General features: G+C 40.1%; 1 protein-coding gene across 19 annotated transcripts in view; it reads right to left on the bottom strand.

Annotated features, from left to right (window-relative positions):
• Nucleotides 1–18,523, bottom strand: part of PHTF1 (putative homeodomain transcription factor 1) — a 63,058-nt gene that overhangs the window by 11,638 nt on the left and 32,897 nt on the right. For 16 of the 19 annotated variants that reach the window (NR_136567.2, NR_136566.2, NR_136564.2 and 13 more), the window contains 6 exons: nt 17,950–18,106; nt 16,291–16,425; nt 4,811–4,970; nt 3,472–3,645; nt 3,278–3,367; nt 1,786–2,007 (listed from right to left, as the gene is read on the bottom strand). Coding sequence is in view for 14 of the 19 variants with exons in the window: in NM_001323042.2 (NP_001309971.1) it covers nt 1,786–2,007; nt 3,278–3,367; nt 3,472–3,645; nt 4,811–4,970; nt 16,291–16,425; nt 17,950–18,106 (938 nt within the window). In the remaining 5 variants the exon portion in view is untranslated. The remainder of the gene's footprint in view (nt 1–1,785; nt 2,008–3,277; nt 3,368–3,471; nt 3,646–4,810; nt 4,971–16,290; nt 16,426–17,949; nt 18,107–18,523) is intronic. The other 3 variants (NR_136565.2, NR_136568.2, NM_001323046.2) reach the window with 1 other exon arrangement.

Below are 18,523 nucleotides of genomic sequence, written 5' to 3' on the forward strand. Positions count from 1 at the left end.
TACAAAAATTAGCCAGGTGTGGTGGCAGGCGGCAGGCACCTGTAATCCTAGCTACTCAGGAGGCTGAGGCAGGAGAATCACTTGAGCCTGGAAGGCGGAGGTTGCAATGAGCTAAAATTGTGCCAGTGTACTCCAGCCTGGGTGACAGAGTAAGACTCCATCTAAAAAAAAAAATGGGGTCAAGAATGACTTCAAGCTTTTTGACTTGGGTGGGTAGTGTGGTATTAAGAAATACAGGGAATAAAAGAATAGGCTACGTGAACAGGATTGGAAAATGATTTATTGCATTTGACATGGTGAGTTTACCACACTCAATTATTCTTATATATGTCTTAAAATTATACTGCAAATCTCAAAGGAGGGGAGTGCTACGGAGATCAACATCATCGTGATACTATGCATAACTACTGAAAACTAATGTAATTTAGATGAATCTTCAGACTGAATGCAAAAAATATTTAGCCTCACTGCAAAATCAGAAAAAGTAGCATAAAATTTTAATGAGAGCCAGGTATGGTGACTCACCCCTGTAATCCCAACACTTTGGGAGGCTAAGGTGGGAGGACTGTTTGAACCCAGGAGTTAAGACCAGCCTAAGCAACATAGTGCGACCCTGTCTCTACAAAAAATTTAAAAATTAGCCAAGCATGGTGGCTAATCAGGAGGCTGAGGTGGGAGGATCACTTGAGCTGGAGAGGTTAAGGCTGCCGTGAGTCATGATTGCACCACTGCACTCCAGCCTGGGCAACAGAGTGAGCTCTGTCCCAAAAAAGAAAACTTTAATGAGAAAATTTACACTGTTTCTTGTTCATTTTTTAAAAATTATATACATTTAATGAAGCGATTTTTTAAATGAAAATGTATAACCTAAATCAATGGTATTTTTGAATCAAGAATATTTGACAATTAAACAAATATATATCCATCATCCACTATTTGCAAGACAATGTGGAAATATTTAGCCTAAAGAACAAAAACCTAAGAATCATAACAATCATTGACATTAAGCAACTGAAAGGTTGATAAGTGAACTATTTCTTCATCATTCAATCTATCCAGAAGTGGAATAAGCTGTATCATTAAATAACAAGCATTCCAGCTCCAGAAGTATTTAAGAGGCCAATTGATCATCTGATGGAGATATAAATAATAATGCTAACATTTATTGGGTATTTACTCTTGCCAGGTATTATGCTATGTACTTTATATTATCTCATTAGCTATTTCACACTATTCCTAAGAAGTAAGAACTATTATCACCACATAACAGATGGTAAAAAATTTACACAGATGTAGAATGAATCTCTACATTGGTTGGAAGGTTGAAATACCTTCTAATGGCTATCTGACTTTATGATATTAATATAAAACCTGAAATTAAAAGCATTATTTATTTTATGCATTGTTCAAAAAGCAAGCAATACCATTTCCTAGTAATTCATATGTAACACTGTGATGTTCATGAAAATATAAGGTATATTCTCTATATGCAAACTCTACTCATATAAAATATAAAATACACATAAAGGACCATTCTAAGGAAAATAATAAGAAAAAGTAATATACAGAAAAATTTAGGTTAGGGCAACTCTAGATTACTTCTCCCTGAGTTCTAATCCCAACATCTTCACTTATAGACTATGCTCAGTTTCCTCACCTCTAAACTGGGGATAATAATAGTATCTACCCTACAGGATGATTGTAAAGTTAAATGAGATGACAGAGTGCCTGACACACAGTAAGAACACAATAAATACTAGCTATTCTTATCATGTCTGCACAGACCTGCTGAAAAACATCCTCTTTGGGGTCACGTTTGGTCCCTGAGTGAAGGGTATTCACATGGGCCCCCTCACTGTCACTGGTGACAGATGACCGGCACTCTGGGCCATGTAGCAGGTCGTCCCATAACATGTCCTCAGTCTCCGAGTCATGGCGGGTGCTTTCTGAGTCTCTTCTTGACATGTTGAGGCTTCGAGAGCCACCACTCACACCCGATCTAGAGCCCTTTAAAGGAAAACAAAAAGCAAAAAATGTTATTCATCTTTAAAAATAATTACATGTGAAATAAAATTAAAACAACTTATCTACAGCAATGGCTTGAAAGCCTTCAGAAGTCAATCACCATGAATTCATTTTTTCACAGGGCTTCACGTAACAATAATGCTTTTTTATTTTTTGATACAGGGTCGCGCTCTGTCACCCAGGCTGGAGTGCAGTGGCATGATCATAGCCCACTGCAACCTCAAACTCGGGCTCAAATGATCCTCCTGCCTCAGCCTCCTGAGTAGCTGGCACTACAGGTGCATACCATCACACCCGGATATATATATATATATATATTTTTTTTTTTTTTTTGTAAAGATGTGGTCTCATTTTGTTGCCCAGGCTGGTCTCCGACTCCTGGTCTCAAGCTATCCAACAACCTCAACCTCTCAAAGTGCTGAGATTACAGGCATGAGCCACCATGTCCAGCCAATAATAGATTTTAATATTTAAATGTTAAACTCTGATGTCTCTAGCAAGCAGTACTCCCTCTAAGAAGCTACTGCCATGTTATGGAACTGATCAACTAAGGTGTTCTGGGAGGGGAGTGATTCCTGTAAGCACACCAAGATGACCCACTCAATTGGCTTAGCTGAGCTTTTTGACACACACAAAGTGACCCCAACTCTAAATATTGTGAACTTGACTACAGACCTACTCGTGAACAGGATTCAGCTCCAAAACGTTAAAGGATAATCAGTCAAAGAAAAGTACCAACATAAATATGAAAGTTATTCCATGACCACAATTGCCTTATTAATCAAAATAAAAGAAAAAACCACACCACCACCATCTACTCTGCTCACCTCTGAGTTACAATTTTCCAAATAATATAATATGCCCTTTAGCTCTCATGATGAGATTTACTACTCCCATCTTTCAGAACTCCTTTCTCAAAAATCTGTCTTCATCAGCATCAATCCAATTTATGATGTTTAAAAATAAACTTCATATGCCAAGTGAATATTTAATAATCTCATTATTTAGGGATTAAGTAACCTCCTGCTGGGCATCATCTGTGATACTTTTAAGCTTAGGGTCAATGTAGGAAAATATTCTTTCTAGGTGTGTAGTCATTAAAAGCTGCTAGATAAGGAGATGGGTAATTGGAGACAGGGAAGGGCTGGCAAATATTAATGTAAATGCTACTTTAGGGCAACCAATAAAAAAAGGAATGGATAAAGTTATTACCCTCAAAAATATACCTTGATTTCTCAAAGGGATACTTTACCTGGCTGAAGGCTGCTGATTCAAATTCTGATTCAGCCAGACTATCTGAATCCCGCACAATATGACACCACCTTGTAGTGGTTTTCTTTACCTGCCAAAAATCAAACCAACAAGCAATAGGAAAATATGTTAAATGCTTTGTTACTAACTTCAATGATTCAGTCCTATACTTTCATAAACTAAAATAGAAATTACCTGAGAGTTTAGGTGCCTTGAAAGTATTGATTTTCTATTCTTAACTTCACAACCATTGTCACTTGAGGCCCCTTCCACACTCCTACGCAATAATATCATCTGTGTCCGTGCTTCACCATCTTCTTCACTTGACAGGTCATCAGACACCCCATTACCCAAACGCCTAAAAGCCTCCTACAAAGAGAACAGCAATACCTTCACAGGGGACAGCCCAAAATATTCTAATAAGCTGCATGTGTAAAAACAAAAAAAAATCATACAAAAACTACCAAGCAGCAAAAGTAAACTAACCCAAAACTGAACAAATCCATATATTACTTAATCTCAATTAAGAAAAATATTTAGTTGAAACTAAATATCCTAAATGAAGAGGCAGTGTTATGTAGTATTCAAAAACCAAGACTCAAGTCAAACTCTAAGCCTGAATCACAGCTCTTCTACTTACTAGATACATAACCTTGAGCAATTTACTAAATCTGTTTGGAGCTGAGTTCCCTCATCTAAAAAGAAATTATAATAAAAGCATCTATTTCACAGGTTTGTTGAAAATAAATGAGATAAGTTAGTATACGTAAAGTACTCAGAACAATGCCTGGTTATAGTAACGGCTCAATAATTCTTAGACTAAATGCCACAATCTAACCAATAAGAAAACAGTTTAAGACTATAAAAGTGTGTAGCTAGTTTTAGACATAGAGCAGACCATGTCTACTTAAACCTACAAAATAATTTCCCAAACTCTTACTATACTATCACTGCTTCTCTGGAATATGACCCAGCACCCTCTTCACTAATCTGTTTATTAAATCTACCAGCCTACTGCTAAGGCTGGATAACTCACAAAATTTTTTTTTTTTTTTTTTTTGAGACGGAGTCTCGCTGTGTCTCCCAGGTTGGAGTGCAGTGGCGCGATCTCGGCTCACTGCAAGCTCCACCTCCCAGGTTCATGCCATGCCATTCTCCTGCCTCAGCCTCCCAAGTAGCTGGGACTACAGGCGCCCGCCAACACGCCCGGCTAATTTTTTGTATTTTTAGTAGAAACGGGGTTTCACCGTGTTAGCCAAGATGATCTCGATCTCCTGACCTCGTGATCCGCCTGTCTCGGCCTCCCAAAGTGCTAGGATTACAGAACTCGCAAAATTAATAACAAGTCCAGTACTATAAATTTTAAGACTAAGTTCCAGTCTTCATGTGGTATCTTCTTTTCATATCCTGTGGTTTTACTTGTTAGGACAAATTTATAAACCTACTAGTACCTATTTTATATCTCTAACAGAATCTTAATAGGAAAATGTTACATGGGGAAAAAAACCCCTTGTTAAATCCATCTAAATCTTACCCTACGGCACTTTTCTCCATCTGAAAATTTTGCTTTCTCTCTTGTTTGCCACATTCTAATCTCTGGTCGACATTGTCTCCTCTTAATGATAGGATGGACACAACTTGGGTCATTGTCAGTTTCAGTCCCTTTGTTAGATATTAATTTTACTCTTTTAATCCTATTTTTTAAAAAAGGAAAAGAAGATTAATTTTTTGAAAGTAACACCTTTCATGAAACCACTTTCTTTTAAGGAATACGCTATATTATTCTGGAAATCAAGAAAATGCAGGAATCATATTTTTCAGGACTTTAGCTTGCTAAGTAAGGGTGTAGAATGACAAAATACTCACTCACAGACTCAGAATGTGAGTCTATTCTTCAAAGACTCATGTCAATTAACTGAAAGGAAGCATATACTTTTCAGTGTTGCACAAAAGTAGGTTCACAGTCCTCTCCACATCTTCTCAGACACAATGCAACTCCTACCTTATATCGTCTGTTATTGCCACTCCACTAGCCCAGTAGACTTAGGTGCACATGACCTATTGAGACACCAGCTGGGTGGCCAGGGAGTGCATTTTTGCCACCCTTACTGCAAAGCCAGGCAGTGTTGTTCACAGCCCAGGAAGAGACAGAAGAGTAAAAAGGACTTTGTCTTGCAACTTGGATACCAGCTCAGCCAGAGTAGAACAAGGGACCAGAGTCCTGAGGCCCCCATTCCAGGACCTAGCTTATGGATGACATTTCTAGACACACCTTGGACCAAAATGCAACCAGCACATTTGAAGGGAAGGATCCAGTCCTGGCAGGAGTCATCACCTGCTGACCAAAGAGCCCTTGGGCTCTGTATAATCAACAGTGGTAGCCAGGCAGTACTCACTGTGGGCATTGGGTGAGACTCAGAGCCATGCTGGCCTCAGGAGGGACCCAGTATATTCCCAGCTGTGGTGGCTACAGGGAGAGACTCTTTCTGCTTGAGGAAAAGAGAGGGAAGAGTAAAGGGGACTCTGTCTTACAGGCAGGGTACAAGCTCAACCACAGTGGGGTAGAACACCAAGTGTGCTCTTGAGGTCCCTGATTCTAGGCCTTGGCTCCTGGATGGTATTTCTGGACGCACTCTGGGCCAGAGGGGAGCCCGTTGCCCTGAAGGGAGATACCCAGGCCTATCAGCATTGACCACAAGCTGACCAAAGAGCCCTTGGACCTTGAGTGAATATCAGCAACAGCCTTGCAGTACTTGCTGCAGGCCTGGGGCAGCGGTGGCCATGGGGAGAGATTCCTCTGCTTGAGGAAACGGGAGAGAAGAATGAGAAGGAGTTTGTCTTTTGGTTTGGGTGTGAGCTCAGCTGCTGTAGAATAGAATGACAGGAAGATTCCTAAGGTTCTCAACGCCAGGCCCTGATAGCGTCTCTGGATCTGCCCAGAGCTAGGGTAACTGGCTGCCCTAAAAGGAAGGACATAAGCCTGGCTGGATTTGCCACCTGCTGATTGTAGTGCCCTTGGGCTTTGAGTAAACATAGGTGGTAGACAGGCAAGTGGTCACCATGTGGACCTTGGGCAAGACCCAGTGCTGTGCTGGCTTCAGACCTGACCCAGGCCAGTCCCAGTATTAATGGCCACAGGGGTGCTGTGTCACTCCTCCTGGCTCCAAGCAGCTCAGCACAGAGAGAAAGAGACTCCATTTGTTTGGGAGAAAGTTAGGGAAGAGAACAAGAGTCTCTCCCTGGTAATCCAGAGAATTCTCCCAGATCTGACCCAAGACCACCAAGGCAGTAACCTCTACAAGTCTGCAGGAGCCACAACATTACTGGGCTTAGGGTGCCCCCTAATGCAGATACAGCTGCAGTGACCAAAGACTTAGATCACAATGCCCAATTCCCCTCAAATACTTGGAAAGCCTTCCCAAGAAGGACAGGTACAAAGAAGCCCAGACTGTGAAGACTACAATAAACATCTAACCATTCAATGCACAGACACTAATGAACATCCACAAGCATCAAGACCATCGAAGAAAACATGACCTCACCAATATCTAATAAGATACCAGTGACCAATTCCAGAGAGACAGAAATATACAACCTTAGAGACAGAAAATTCAAAATAGCTATTTTTAGCCAGGCACAGTGGCTTATGCCTGTAATCCCAGCAGTTTGGGAGGCCAAGGGACAGGTGGATCAGTTGAGCTAAGGAGTTCAAAACCAGCCTGGGCAACATGGCAAAACCTCGTCTTTACAAAAATTAGCTGGGTGCAATGGCATGTGCCTGTAGTCCCAGCTACTTGGAAGGCTGAGGCAGGAGGATCACTTGAGCCTAGGAGGTGGAGTTTGCAGTGAGCCGAGATTGTACCATTGCACTTCAACCTGAGCAATGACAGTGAAACCCTGTCTCAAAAAAAAAAAAAAAAAAAAAAAAAAAAAAAAGCTATTTTGAGGAAACTCAAACAAATTCAAGAATACACAGAAGGAATTCAGAATCCTATCAGATAAATTTAACAGAGAGAGTGAAATAACTAAAAAAAAAAAATCAAACAAATTCTGGAGCTGAAAAATGCAACTGACATACTGAAGAAATGCATCAGAGTCTCTTAACAGCAGAATTGATCAAGCAGAAGAAAGAATTAGTGAGCTTCAAGACAGTATATTTAAAAAGACACAGAGGAGACAAAAGAAAAAGAATAAAAAAGAATGAAACACACCTAAAAGATCTGGAAAATAGCCTCAAAACAGCAAATCTAAGAGTTACTGACCTTAAAGAGGCGGTAGAGAGAGAGACAGGAGTATAAAGTTTATTCAAAGGGATAATAACAGGAAACTTCCCAAATCTAGAGTAAGATACCAATATTCAAGTACAAGAAGGTCATACAATACCAAACAGATTTAACACAAAGAAGATTACCTCAAGGCATTTAACAATCAAACCCTCAAAGATCAAAGATAAAGAAAGGATCCTAAAAGCAGCAAGAGAAAGGAAACAAATAGCATACAAAGATACTCCAATATTTCTGGCAGCAGACTTCTCAGTGCAAACTTTACAGGCTAGGAGAGAGTGGTATGACATATTTATTTACTTACTTATTTTTCCCTTTTTTTTTTTTTTTTTTTTTTTGAGATGGGGATCTCAGTTGCCCAGGCTGGAGTTCACTGTCACAATTACAGCTCACTACTGCCTCAACGTCCTGGGCTCAGGCGATCTTCTTGTCTCAACCTCCAGCATAGCTGGAACCACAGGCACAGGTCACCACATCCAGCTGATTTTTTATTTTTATTTTTGTAGAGACTGGGTCTCCCTAATGTTGCCCAGGTTGGTCTTGAACTTCTGGCCTCAAGCAATCCTCCCATCTTGACCTCCCAAAGTGCTGGGATTATAGGCCTGAGCCACTATGTCCAGCCGGTCTGACATATTTAAACTGCTAAATGAAAAACCTTTTTGTCCTACAATACTATACCCAACAAAAATAAACTTCAAACAAGAAGTAAAAATAAAGACATCCCCAGAAAAAAACAAAAGCTGAAGGATTTCATCAACAACAGACCTGCCTACAAGAAATGCAAAAGAGAGTTCTTCAAATTGAAAGAAATGACATTAATGAGCAATAAGCAATCATCTGAAGGTACAAAACTCATTAGTAATAGTAAATACACAAAAAAGACAGAATATTATAACCCTGTAATTGTTATGTGTAAACGACTCATATCTTCAATAGGAAGACTAAAAGATGAACCAACTTAAAAGAATACAACATTTCAAGACATAGACAGTATAATAAGATATAAATACAAACAACAAAAAGTTAAAAAGCAAGGGGACAGAGTGAAAGTGTACAGTTTTTATTACTTTTCTCTTTGCTGGTTTATGAGTTTGTTTGCTTGTTTATGCAATCAGTGTTACCAGTTTAAAAAAATAGGTTATAAAATATTATTTGCAAGCCTCAATGTAACCCCCAAATTAAAAAAATAATAAAAGATGCATAAAAAATAAAAAGAAATAAATTTTAAAATACCCCTAGAGAAAATCACCTTCACTAAGAGGAAGATAGGAAGGAAAGAAAGAAGAGATCACAAATGAACCAGAAAACAACTAACAAAGTGGCAGGAGTAAGTCCTTACTTATCAATAATGGCATGGAATGTAAATGAACTAAACTTTCTAATCAAAAGACATAGAGTGGCTTAATGCATTAAAAAAACAAAATCCATGATCTGTTACCTACAAGAAACAAACTTTATAAAAGATACACACAGGCTGAAAATAAGGGGATGGAAAAAGATATTCCATCCCAATAGAAACTAAAAATTAGCAGGAGTAGTGTATTAGTTCATTTTCATGCTGCTGATGAAAACATACCCGAGATTGGGAAGATAAAGAGATTTAACTGGACTTACAGTTCCACATGGCTGGGGAGGCCCCTGAGAATCATGGCGGGAGGTAAAAGGCACTTCTTACATGGTGGCGGGCAAGAGAAAATGAGGAAGAAGCAAAAGCGGAAACCCCTGATAAACCCATCAGATCTCGTGAGACTTATTCACTATCACGAGAATAGCATGGGAAAGACCAGCCCCCATGATTCAATTACCTCCCCCTGGGCCCCTCCCACAACCCACTGGAATTCTGGGAGATACAATTCAAGTTGAGATTTGGGTGGGGACACAGCCAAACCATATCATTCTGCTCCTTGCCTCTACAAACCTCATGTCCTCACATTTCAAAACCAATCATGCCTTCCCAATACTCCCCCAAAGTCTTATTTCAACATTAACCCAAAAGTCCAGCATCCAAAATCTCATCTGAAACAAGGCAAGTCCCTTCCACCTATGAGCCTGTAAAATCAAAAGCAAGCTAGTTACTTTCTAGATACAATGAGGATACAAGTATTGGGTAAATACACACGTTCAAAATGGGAGAAATTGGCCAAAACAAAGGGGTTACAGGGCCCTTGCAAGTCTGAAATCCAGTGGGGGAGTCAAATTTTAAAGCTCCAAAATGATCTCCTTTGACTCCAGGTCTCACACATCCAGGTCACGCTGATGCAAAAGGTGGGTTCACATGGTCTTGGGCAGCTCTGTCCTTATGGCTTTGCAGGGTAAAGCCTCCCTCCTGGCTGCTTTCACAGGCTGGTGTTGAGTGTCTGAGGCTTTGCCAGGAGCACAGTGCAAGCTGTTGGTGGATCTACCATTCTGGGGTCTGGAGGATGGTGGCCTTCTCACAGCTCCACTAGGTGGTGCCCCAGTAGGGACGCTGTGTGGGGGCTCCGACCCCACCTTTTCCCTTCCACACTACCCTCACAGAGGTTCTCCATGAGTGCCCTGCCCCTGCAGCAAAACTATTGCCTGGGCATCCATCTTCTGAAATCTAGGCAGAGGTTCCCAAACCTCAATTCTTGACTTCTGTGCACCTGCAGGCTCGATACCACGTAGAAGCTGCCAAGGTTTGGAGCGTCCACCCTCTGAAGCCACAGCCTGAGCTGTACATTGGCCCCTTTCAGCCATGGCTGGAGCAACTGGGACATGGGACACCAAGTCCCAAGGCTGCACACAGCATGGGGACCCTGGGTCCGGCCCACGAAACCACTTTTTCCTCCTAGGCCTCCAGGCCTGTGAAGGGAGGGGCTGCCATGAAAGTGTCTGACATGTCCTGGAAACATTTTCCCCATTGCTTGGGTATTAATGTTAGGCTCCTTGCTACTTATGCAAATTTCTGCAGCCAGTTTGAATTTCTCCCCAGAAAATGGGTTTTTCTTTTCTTCTTTTTTTTTTTCTTTTGAGACAGAGTCTCGTTCTGTCACCCAGGCTGGAGTGCAGTGGCGTGATCTCAGCTCACTGCAAATGCCACCTCTTGGGTTCAAGCAATTCCCCTGCCTCAGCCTCCCAGGTAGCTGGGATTACAAGTACCCACCATCATGCCTGGTTAATTTTTGTATTTTTTTAGTAGAGATGGGGTTTCACCATGTTGGCCAGATTGGTCTTAAACTACTGACCTCAGGTGATCCACCCACCTCAGCCTCCCAAAGTGCTGGGATTACAGGCGTGAGCCACCACGCCTGGCCTGGGTTTTTCTTTTCTATCGCATAGTCAGGGCACAAATTTTCCAAACTTTTATGCTCTGCTTCCCTTATAAAACTGATTGCCTTTAACCACACCCAAATCACCTCTTTAATGCTTTGCTACTTAGAAATTTTTTCCGCCAGATACCCTAAATCATCTCTCTTAAGTTCAAAGTTCCACAAATCTCTAAGGGAGGGGCAAAATGCCACCAGTCTCTTTGCTAAAACATAACAAGAGTCACCTTTGCTTCAGTTCCCAACAAGTTCCTCATCTCCATCTGTTACCACCTCAGCCTAGACCTTATTGTTCATATCACTATCAGCATTGCTGTCAAAGCCATTCAACAAATCTCTAGGAGGTTCCAAACTTCCCACATTTTCCTGTCTTCTTCTGAGCGCTCCAAACTGTTCCAACCTCTGCCTGTTACCCAGTTCCAAAGTTGTTTCCATATTTTCAGGTATCTTTTCAGCAACACCCCACTCTACTGGTACCAATTTACTGTATTAGTTCATTTTCATGCTGTTGATAAAGACATACCTGAGACTGAGAAGAAGAAGAGGTTTAATTGGACTTACAGTTCCACAAGGCTGGGGAGGCTTCAGAATCACAGCAGGAGGTGAAAGGCACTTCTTAGATGGTGGCGGCAAGAGAAAGAAGAAGCAAAAGCAGAAACTCCTGATAAACCCATCAGATCTTGTGAGACTTATTCACTATCACGAGACTAGCACAGGAAAGACCAGCCCCATGATTCAATTACCTCCCCCTGGCTCCCTCCTGCAATACGTGGGAATTCTGGGAGATACAATTCAAGTTGATATTTGGGTGGGGACACAGCCAAACCATATCAAGTAGCTATACTTATATTGGTCAAAATAGACTTTAACTATAAAAAGAGTTAAAGGTCATTATATAATGATAAAGGGGTCAATGCAGCAAGAGGACAAACAATTGTAAATATATATGCACCCAACACTGAAGCACCCAGATACATAAAGCAAATATTATTAGAGTTAAAGAGAGAGACAGACTCCAATACAATAATAGCTGGAGACTTCAACCTCATTTTCAGCATTAGACAGATCATCCAAATAGAAAAACCAACAAAAAAAATTGGACTTAATCTACACTACAGACCAAACAGACCTGACAGACATTTACTAAACATTTTACCTACTGGCTATAGAATACACATTTTTCTCCTCAGTGCATGAATCATTTTCAGGGATATACCATATTATAGCCAAAAAACAAGTCTTAAAACATTCCAGAAAATTAAAATGATATCAAGTATCACCGGGAGGGTACAGCCTCCCTCCTGGCTGCTTTCATGGGCTGGTGTTGAGTGTCTACGGCTTTTCCAGGTGCACAATGCAAGCTATTGGTGGATCTACCATTCTGGGGTCTTGAGGACAGTGGCCCTCTTCTCACAGCTCCACTAGGAAGTGCCCCAGTGAGAACTCTATGTGCGGGTGCCCACCCCACATTTCCCTTCCACACTGCCCTAGCAAAGGTTCACCATGAGTGCCCTGCCCCGGCAGCAAACATCTGCCTGGACATCCAAGCATTTCCATACAACCTGTGAAATCTAGGCAGAGGTTCTCAAATCTCAATACTTGACTTCTGTGCACCTCTACAAAAAAATACAAAAAATTAGGGAGGGAGGGATGTGGTGGCACATGCCTGTGGTCCCAGCTACATGGGGGACTCACACACAAGAATCACTTGAACTGGGAAGCAGAGTTTGCAGTGAGCCAAGATCATGCCACTGCACTCAAGCCTGGGCAACAGACTGAGGCTCTGTCTCAAATATTAGTAACAATAAGATAAAATAAATAAATAAAAAGATCATTCATCACGACCAAGTAGGGTTATACCAGGGATGCAAGGATGGTTCAACATACATACAAATCAATTAACGTGACACATCATACCAAAAGAATGAAGGAAAAAAACCATATAATCATTTCAAATGATGATGAAAAAGCATTTGATAACATTCAATATCCCTGCATGATAAGAATTCTCAAAAATCAGGGTATAGAAGGAACATACCTCAAAACAATAAAAGTCAAGTCACATAACAGACCCACAGCTGGTATCATACTGAATGAGGAAAAACTGAAAGCCTTTCCTCTAAGATCTGGAAAATGACAAAGATGCCCACTTTCATCACTGTTATTCAACATAGTACTAGAAGTCCTAGCTAGAGCAATCAGACAAGAGACAGAAATGAAAGGCCTACAAATTGGAAAAGAAGAATTCAAATTACCTTTGTTTACAGATAATAAGATCTTATATTTGGAAAAACCTACAGATTCCACCAAAAAACTATCAGAACTGATAAACAAATTCATTAAAGTTGCAGGATACAAAATTGACATAAAAATCAATAGCATTTCTTTTTTTTGAGACAGAGTCTTGCTCTGTCGCCCAGGCTGGAGTGCAGTGGTGTGATCTTGGCTCACTGCAAGCTCCACCTCCCGGATTCATGCCATTCTGCTGTCTCAGCCTCCCAAGTAGCTGGGACTACAGGTGCCCGCCACCACGCCCGGCTAATTTTTTTTTTTGTATTTTTAGTAGAGACAGGGTTTCACCATGTTAACCAGGATGGTCTCAACCTCCTGACCTCGTGATCCGCCCGCCTTGGCCTCCCAAAGTGCTGGGATTACAGGCGTGAGCCACTGCGCCCAGCCAAAAATCAATAGCATTTCTATATGCCAACAGCAAACAATCTAAAAAAGAAATCAAGAAAGTTACACGATTTCTAATAGTTTCAAATAAAATTAAACACCTAGCAATTAACCAAAGAAGTGAAAGATCTCTATAATGAAAACTATAAAACATAGATGTAAGAAATTGAAGAGAACGCAGCCGGGCGCAGTGGGTCACGCCTGTAATCCCACCACTTTGGGAAACCAAGACGGGCGGATCACGAGGTCAGGAGATCGAGACCATGGTGAAACCCCATCTCTACTAAAAATACAAAAAATTAGCCGGGCACGGTGGCGGGTGCCTGTAGTCCCAGCTCCTCTGGAGGCTGAGGCAGGAGAATGGCATGAACCCAGGAGGTGGAGCTTGCAGTGAGCCGAGATCATGCCACTGCACTCTAGCTTTGGCGATAGAGCGAGACTCTGTCTCAAAAAAAAGAAATTGAAGAGAATGCAAAAAATATGGAAAGATATTCCATAGTTTATGAACTGGAAGAATGACTATTGTTAAAAATATCCATATTAACCAAAGCAATCTACAGATTCAATGCAATCCCTATAAAAATAACAATGACATTCTTCACAAAAATAGAAAAAACAATCCTAAAATTTACATGGAATTGGCCAGGCATGGTGGCTCACACCTGTAATCCCAGCACTTTGGAAGGCCAAGGTGGGCAGATCACCTGAGGTCAGGAGTTTGAGACCAGCCTGGCCAACATGGTGAAACCCCATCTCTACTAAAAATACAAAAAAAAAAAAAAATTAGCCAGGCGTGGTGGCAGGCGCCTGTAATCCCAGCTACTCGGGAGGCTGAGGCAGAATTGCTTGAACCTGGGAGGCAGAGGTTGCAGTGAGCCGAGATCGCGCCATTGCACTCCAGCCTGGATGACAGAGGAAGACTCCATCTCAAATAAATAAATAAATAAATAAATAAATAAATAAATAAATAAATAAAAATAAAAATTATATGGAATCACAAAAGACCCAAAATAACCAAAGCTATCGTAAGTAAAAACAACAAAACTGAAGGAATCACATTACCTGACTTCAAATTGTACTACAGCACTATAGTAACCAAAGGAGCATGGTAGTGGCATAAAAACACATCGGCCAATGGAACAGAATTGAGAATCCGGAAATAGATCCATACATCTACAGTGAACTCATTTTTTTTTTTTTTTTTTGAGACAGGGTCACACTCTGTCACCTAGGCTGGAGTAAAGTGGTGAGATCCTGACTCGCTGCAACCTCTGCCTCCCAGGTTCAAGCAATTCTCCTGCTTCCACCTCCCGAGCAGCTGGGATTACAGGTGCCCACCACCACGCCCGGATAATTCTTGTATTTTTAGTAGAGACAAGGTTTGGCCATGTTGGCCAGGCTGGTCTTGAACTCCTGACCTCAAATGATCCCCCCGCCTCAGCCTCCCAAAGTGCTGGGATTACAGGCATGAGCCACTGTGCCCGGCCAACAGTGAACTCAGTTTTGACAAAGATGCCAAGAACATACATTAGAGAAAGGACAGTCTCTTCAATAAATGATGCTGGAAAAACTGAATATTCACATGCAGAAGAATGAAACTAGACCCTTATCTCTCACCATATGCAAAAATCAAATAAAAGTTAATTAAAGAACTAAACCTAGGACCCCAAACTATGAAATGACTAAAAGAAAACATTAGGGAAACTCTCCAGATGTTGGTCTGGGCAAAGATTTCTTAAGTAATACTCCACAAGCACAGGCAACCAAAGCAAAATGGACAAATGAGATCACATCAAGTTAAAAAGCATCTATATAGCAAAGGAAACAATCAACCAAGTGAAAATACAACTCACAGAATGAGAGAAAGTCTTAAATTATCCATCTGACAAGGGATTAATAACCAGAATATATAAGGAGTTCAAACAACTCTATAGAAAAAATCTAATAATCTGATTTTAAAATGGGCAAAAGATCTGAATAGACATTTCTCAAAAGAAGACATATAAATGGTAAACAGGTATGTGAAAAGGTACTCATATCATTGATCACAGAAATGCAAATCAAAACCACAGTGAGATATCATCTCACTCCAGTTAAAATGGCTTTTAGGCAAAAGACAGACGATAACAAATGCTGGAGAGGATATGGAGAAAAGGGAACCCCCGTACACTGTTGGTGGAAATGTAAAGTAGTACAACCACTATGAAGAACAGCTTGGAGGTTCTTCAAATAAAGAAAAATAGAACTACCATATGATCCAGCAACCCCACTGCTAGGTATATAACCAAAAGAAAGGAAATCAGGCCAGGTGTGATGGCTCATGCCTGAGGCCTGAGGTCAGGAATTCGATATCAGCCTGGGCAACATGGTTACACCCTGTCTCTAATAAAATACAAAAATTAGCTGGGTGTGGCGGCGGGCACCTGTCATCCCAGCTATTCTCAGAAGGCTGAGGCAGGAGAATCGCTTGAACTCAAGAGGCAGAGGTTGCAGTGAGCCAAGATCGTGCCATTGCACTCCAGCCTGGGTGAGAGAATGAGACTCCATTTCAAAAAAAAAAAAAAAAAACAGAATACTTCCATGATAGATTACTGCATTCACAGGTAACAAAACAGACAGTGAAGACAACATTTTGAGTAAGCAAGCCCTCTGATAACCCTTAAAAATCACACCAAGATAAGTCTATACTACTTACTCCTATGGCCTGATGATACTATACATTCTGTAAACACTACGTGAATACAAAATCAAGTAAAAAAGACTCCCACCTGTTGCCAAAGATAGTCTCCCAAAAACCACCAATAATGGGTACAGATTCCAAAGTTTCTATTCCTCTGACTTTATCAGAGGAGTTATTTCCATTTTCTCGGCTCCCATCACCATTTACAGTTTTTCGTAATTTTCTACAAAAAAAAATTTCAATAACTTCAGATTATTCAAGACCCTTTCTATTTCTGCCAAAAATATCCCTACAGAAAATTATACTGACAAATTACTACCTTAAATCAAGTATAGTTTAACTTCATATTCTGCGGATAAACTATGCAAGAACTTTCTGATTTGAGGGCAAAACCAGATTCCAAACCAAAGTCCTATGCTACCATTTTGTTCAGTCATTAAAGAAATAGAACCGCTATTCAGAATCTACTAAAAAAAAAAATTTCTACTTGTATGACCAAGAGTCTGTTCAGGCACATTCAACACCACTAGCAGAAGGAGCAATTTCTTTAAATATGGATGTTAGGAATCTACCTCTTATGGCACATTTTATAAGGGTAACATAGAATAGTAGCAACTGATCACTTTTTATTGATATCCTAGACAAAAGATATATACTATAGATATCAATAAGACATAGCATAGCATTTTATTTCCTTAGAAAACATTCCATTAATTTAACTGAATTTACAAGAAATCTTTTTTAAAAAGTTTTTAAAATAACATTCAAAAATAAGAATATGTTGAAATTCATTGCACCTAATGGAAAATTCTTATTTAGTAATTGCTTACGCAGGCAAAAATCTACAGATATTCTGAGGGAAGATAACATAACTTTTGGAAAATAACACTGCATATACCTAAGAACATTTCAACAGTTCCAAAACTCACATATACCATATAATCGATTAAAATATAACATGAATTCAATATGTAAAGAAAAGCCAAATAAATCCTTATTAAAAGTTTAGACGGCTGGGTGCAGTGGCTCACGCCTGTAATCCCAGTCCTTTGGGAGACCGAGGCGGGTGGATCACCTGAGGTCAGGAGTTCTAGATCAGCCTGATTAACATGGTGAAATCCCATCTCTACTAAATTCAAAAAAAAAAATTAGCTGGGTGTGGTGGCATACGCAGGTAATCCCAGCTACTTGAGAGGCTGAGGCAGGAGAATCGCTTGAACTCAGGAGGTATCGGTTGCAGTGAGCCGAGATTGCGCCATTGCACTCCAGCCTGGGCAACAAGAGCGAAACTCTGTCTCAAAAAGAAAAAAAAAAAGTTTAGACCACTTAGAAATCAATTCTTATTACACATCTTTGAAAAAAGGTAAAATTTTGGTAGCGCTAACCAAATGTACCAAGATCCTTGTTTACAGTGAATTTTCACCAAATTTTGATTAAGACTGAATTTCAAAGAGAATGTTTTCTTTGAAGCCAATATATGATAAATTTTATAAAGAATAATATAGTATAGAAATTTTCCTTTTAAACAACTGTACTGAATGACAAAAATCCCAAACTGGAACTAAAAGTTTGTAACAAGGTTTTCTCAGCATCAAGGAGAAAAGTGCAAAGTAATGCATTCATTTTCTAAGCCAAAAAATAATGAAAAACACAAAAGAGGGAGATTTTAAATTAATCAAAGGTTTTATAAATCTCTACAATAACTCTCCCAGAAAATATACAACTACAGTGTAATTTCTCATCTTACCTTCTTCTTCGATTTCCATTGTTTCCTGATGGTCTTGTTATCTGAGTAGACACAATTTGACAGTGGACAGTTCCCATGAGTAGCATAAGGCACAAGGGTCCAAGTACTTCACTTATGTTCACAATAGGCATCATCAAATATAAGACAATTGCTATAACTGAAAAGAAGAGGTTTTAAGATGTAAAACATTAGAGCTCTTCTTTAAAATTAATTCTAAAAACTATACAAATTGTTTCTATAAAAATCCATCATTTAAAAAAGTACACAAATAAATAGTTTCCTACAATGCCCATCCAGATGCACATTAGCCAAGTGAAAAACTGAAGCCCTAGATCCCTCGGCAAGTGAAGAATACTGTGTTAAAAGGATTTACCTTTCTAGCAGCATGATAATTTAGATATTTCAAAAGGGTTTCCACCACAAAAACAACTAGATGCTGTATATAAAACACATTTTGAAGTGCTGTGTTGCTCAAAGGAAGAGTATTTTCCAAGGCTACACAGAAAGCAAACAGCAAAGATGGGGATTGAACCCAGGTAGTCAGGCTCCAGAGTCCTCACTCTTAACTACTATG

The sequence above is a fragment of the Homo sapiens genome, chromosome 1 (assembly GCF_000001405.40).
Source record: "Homo sapiens chromosome 1, GRCh38.p14 Primary Assembly".
Lineage (NCBI taxonomy): Eukaryota > Metazoa > Chordata > Mammalia > Primates > Hominidae > Homo > Homo sapiens.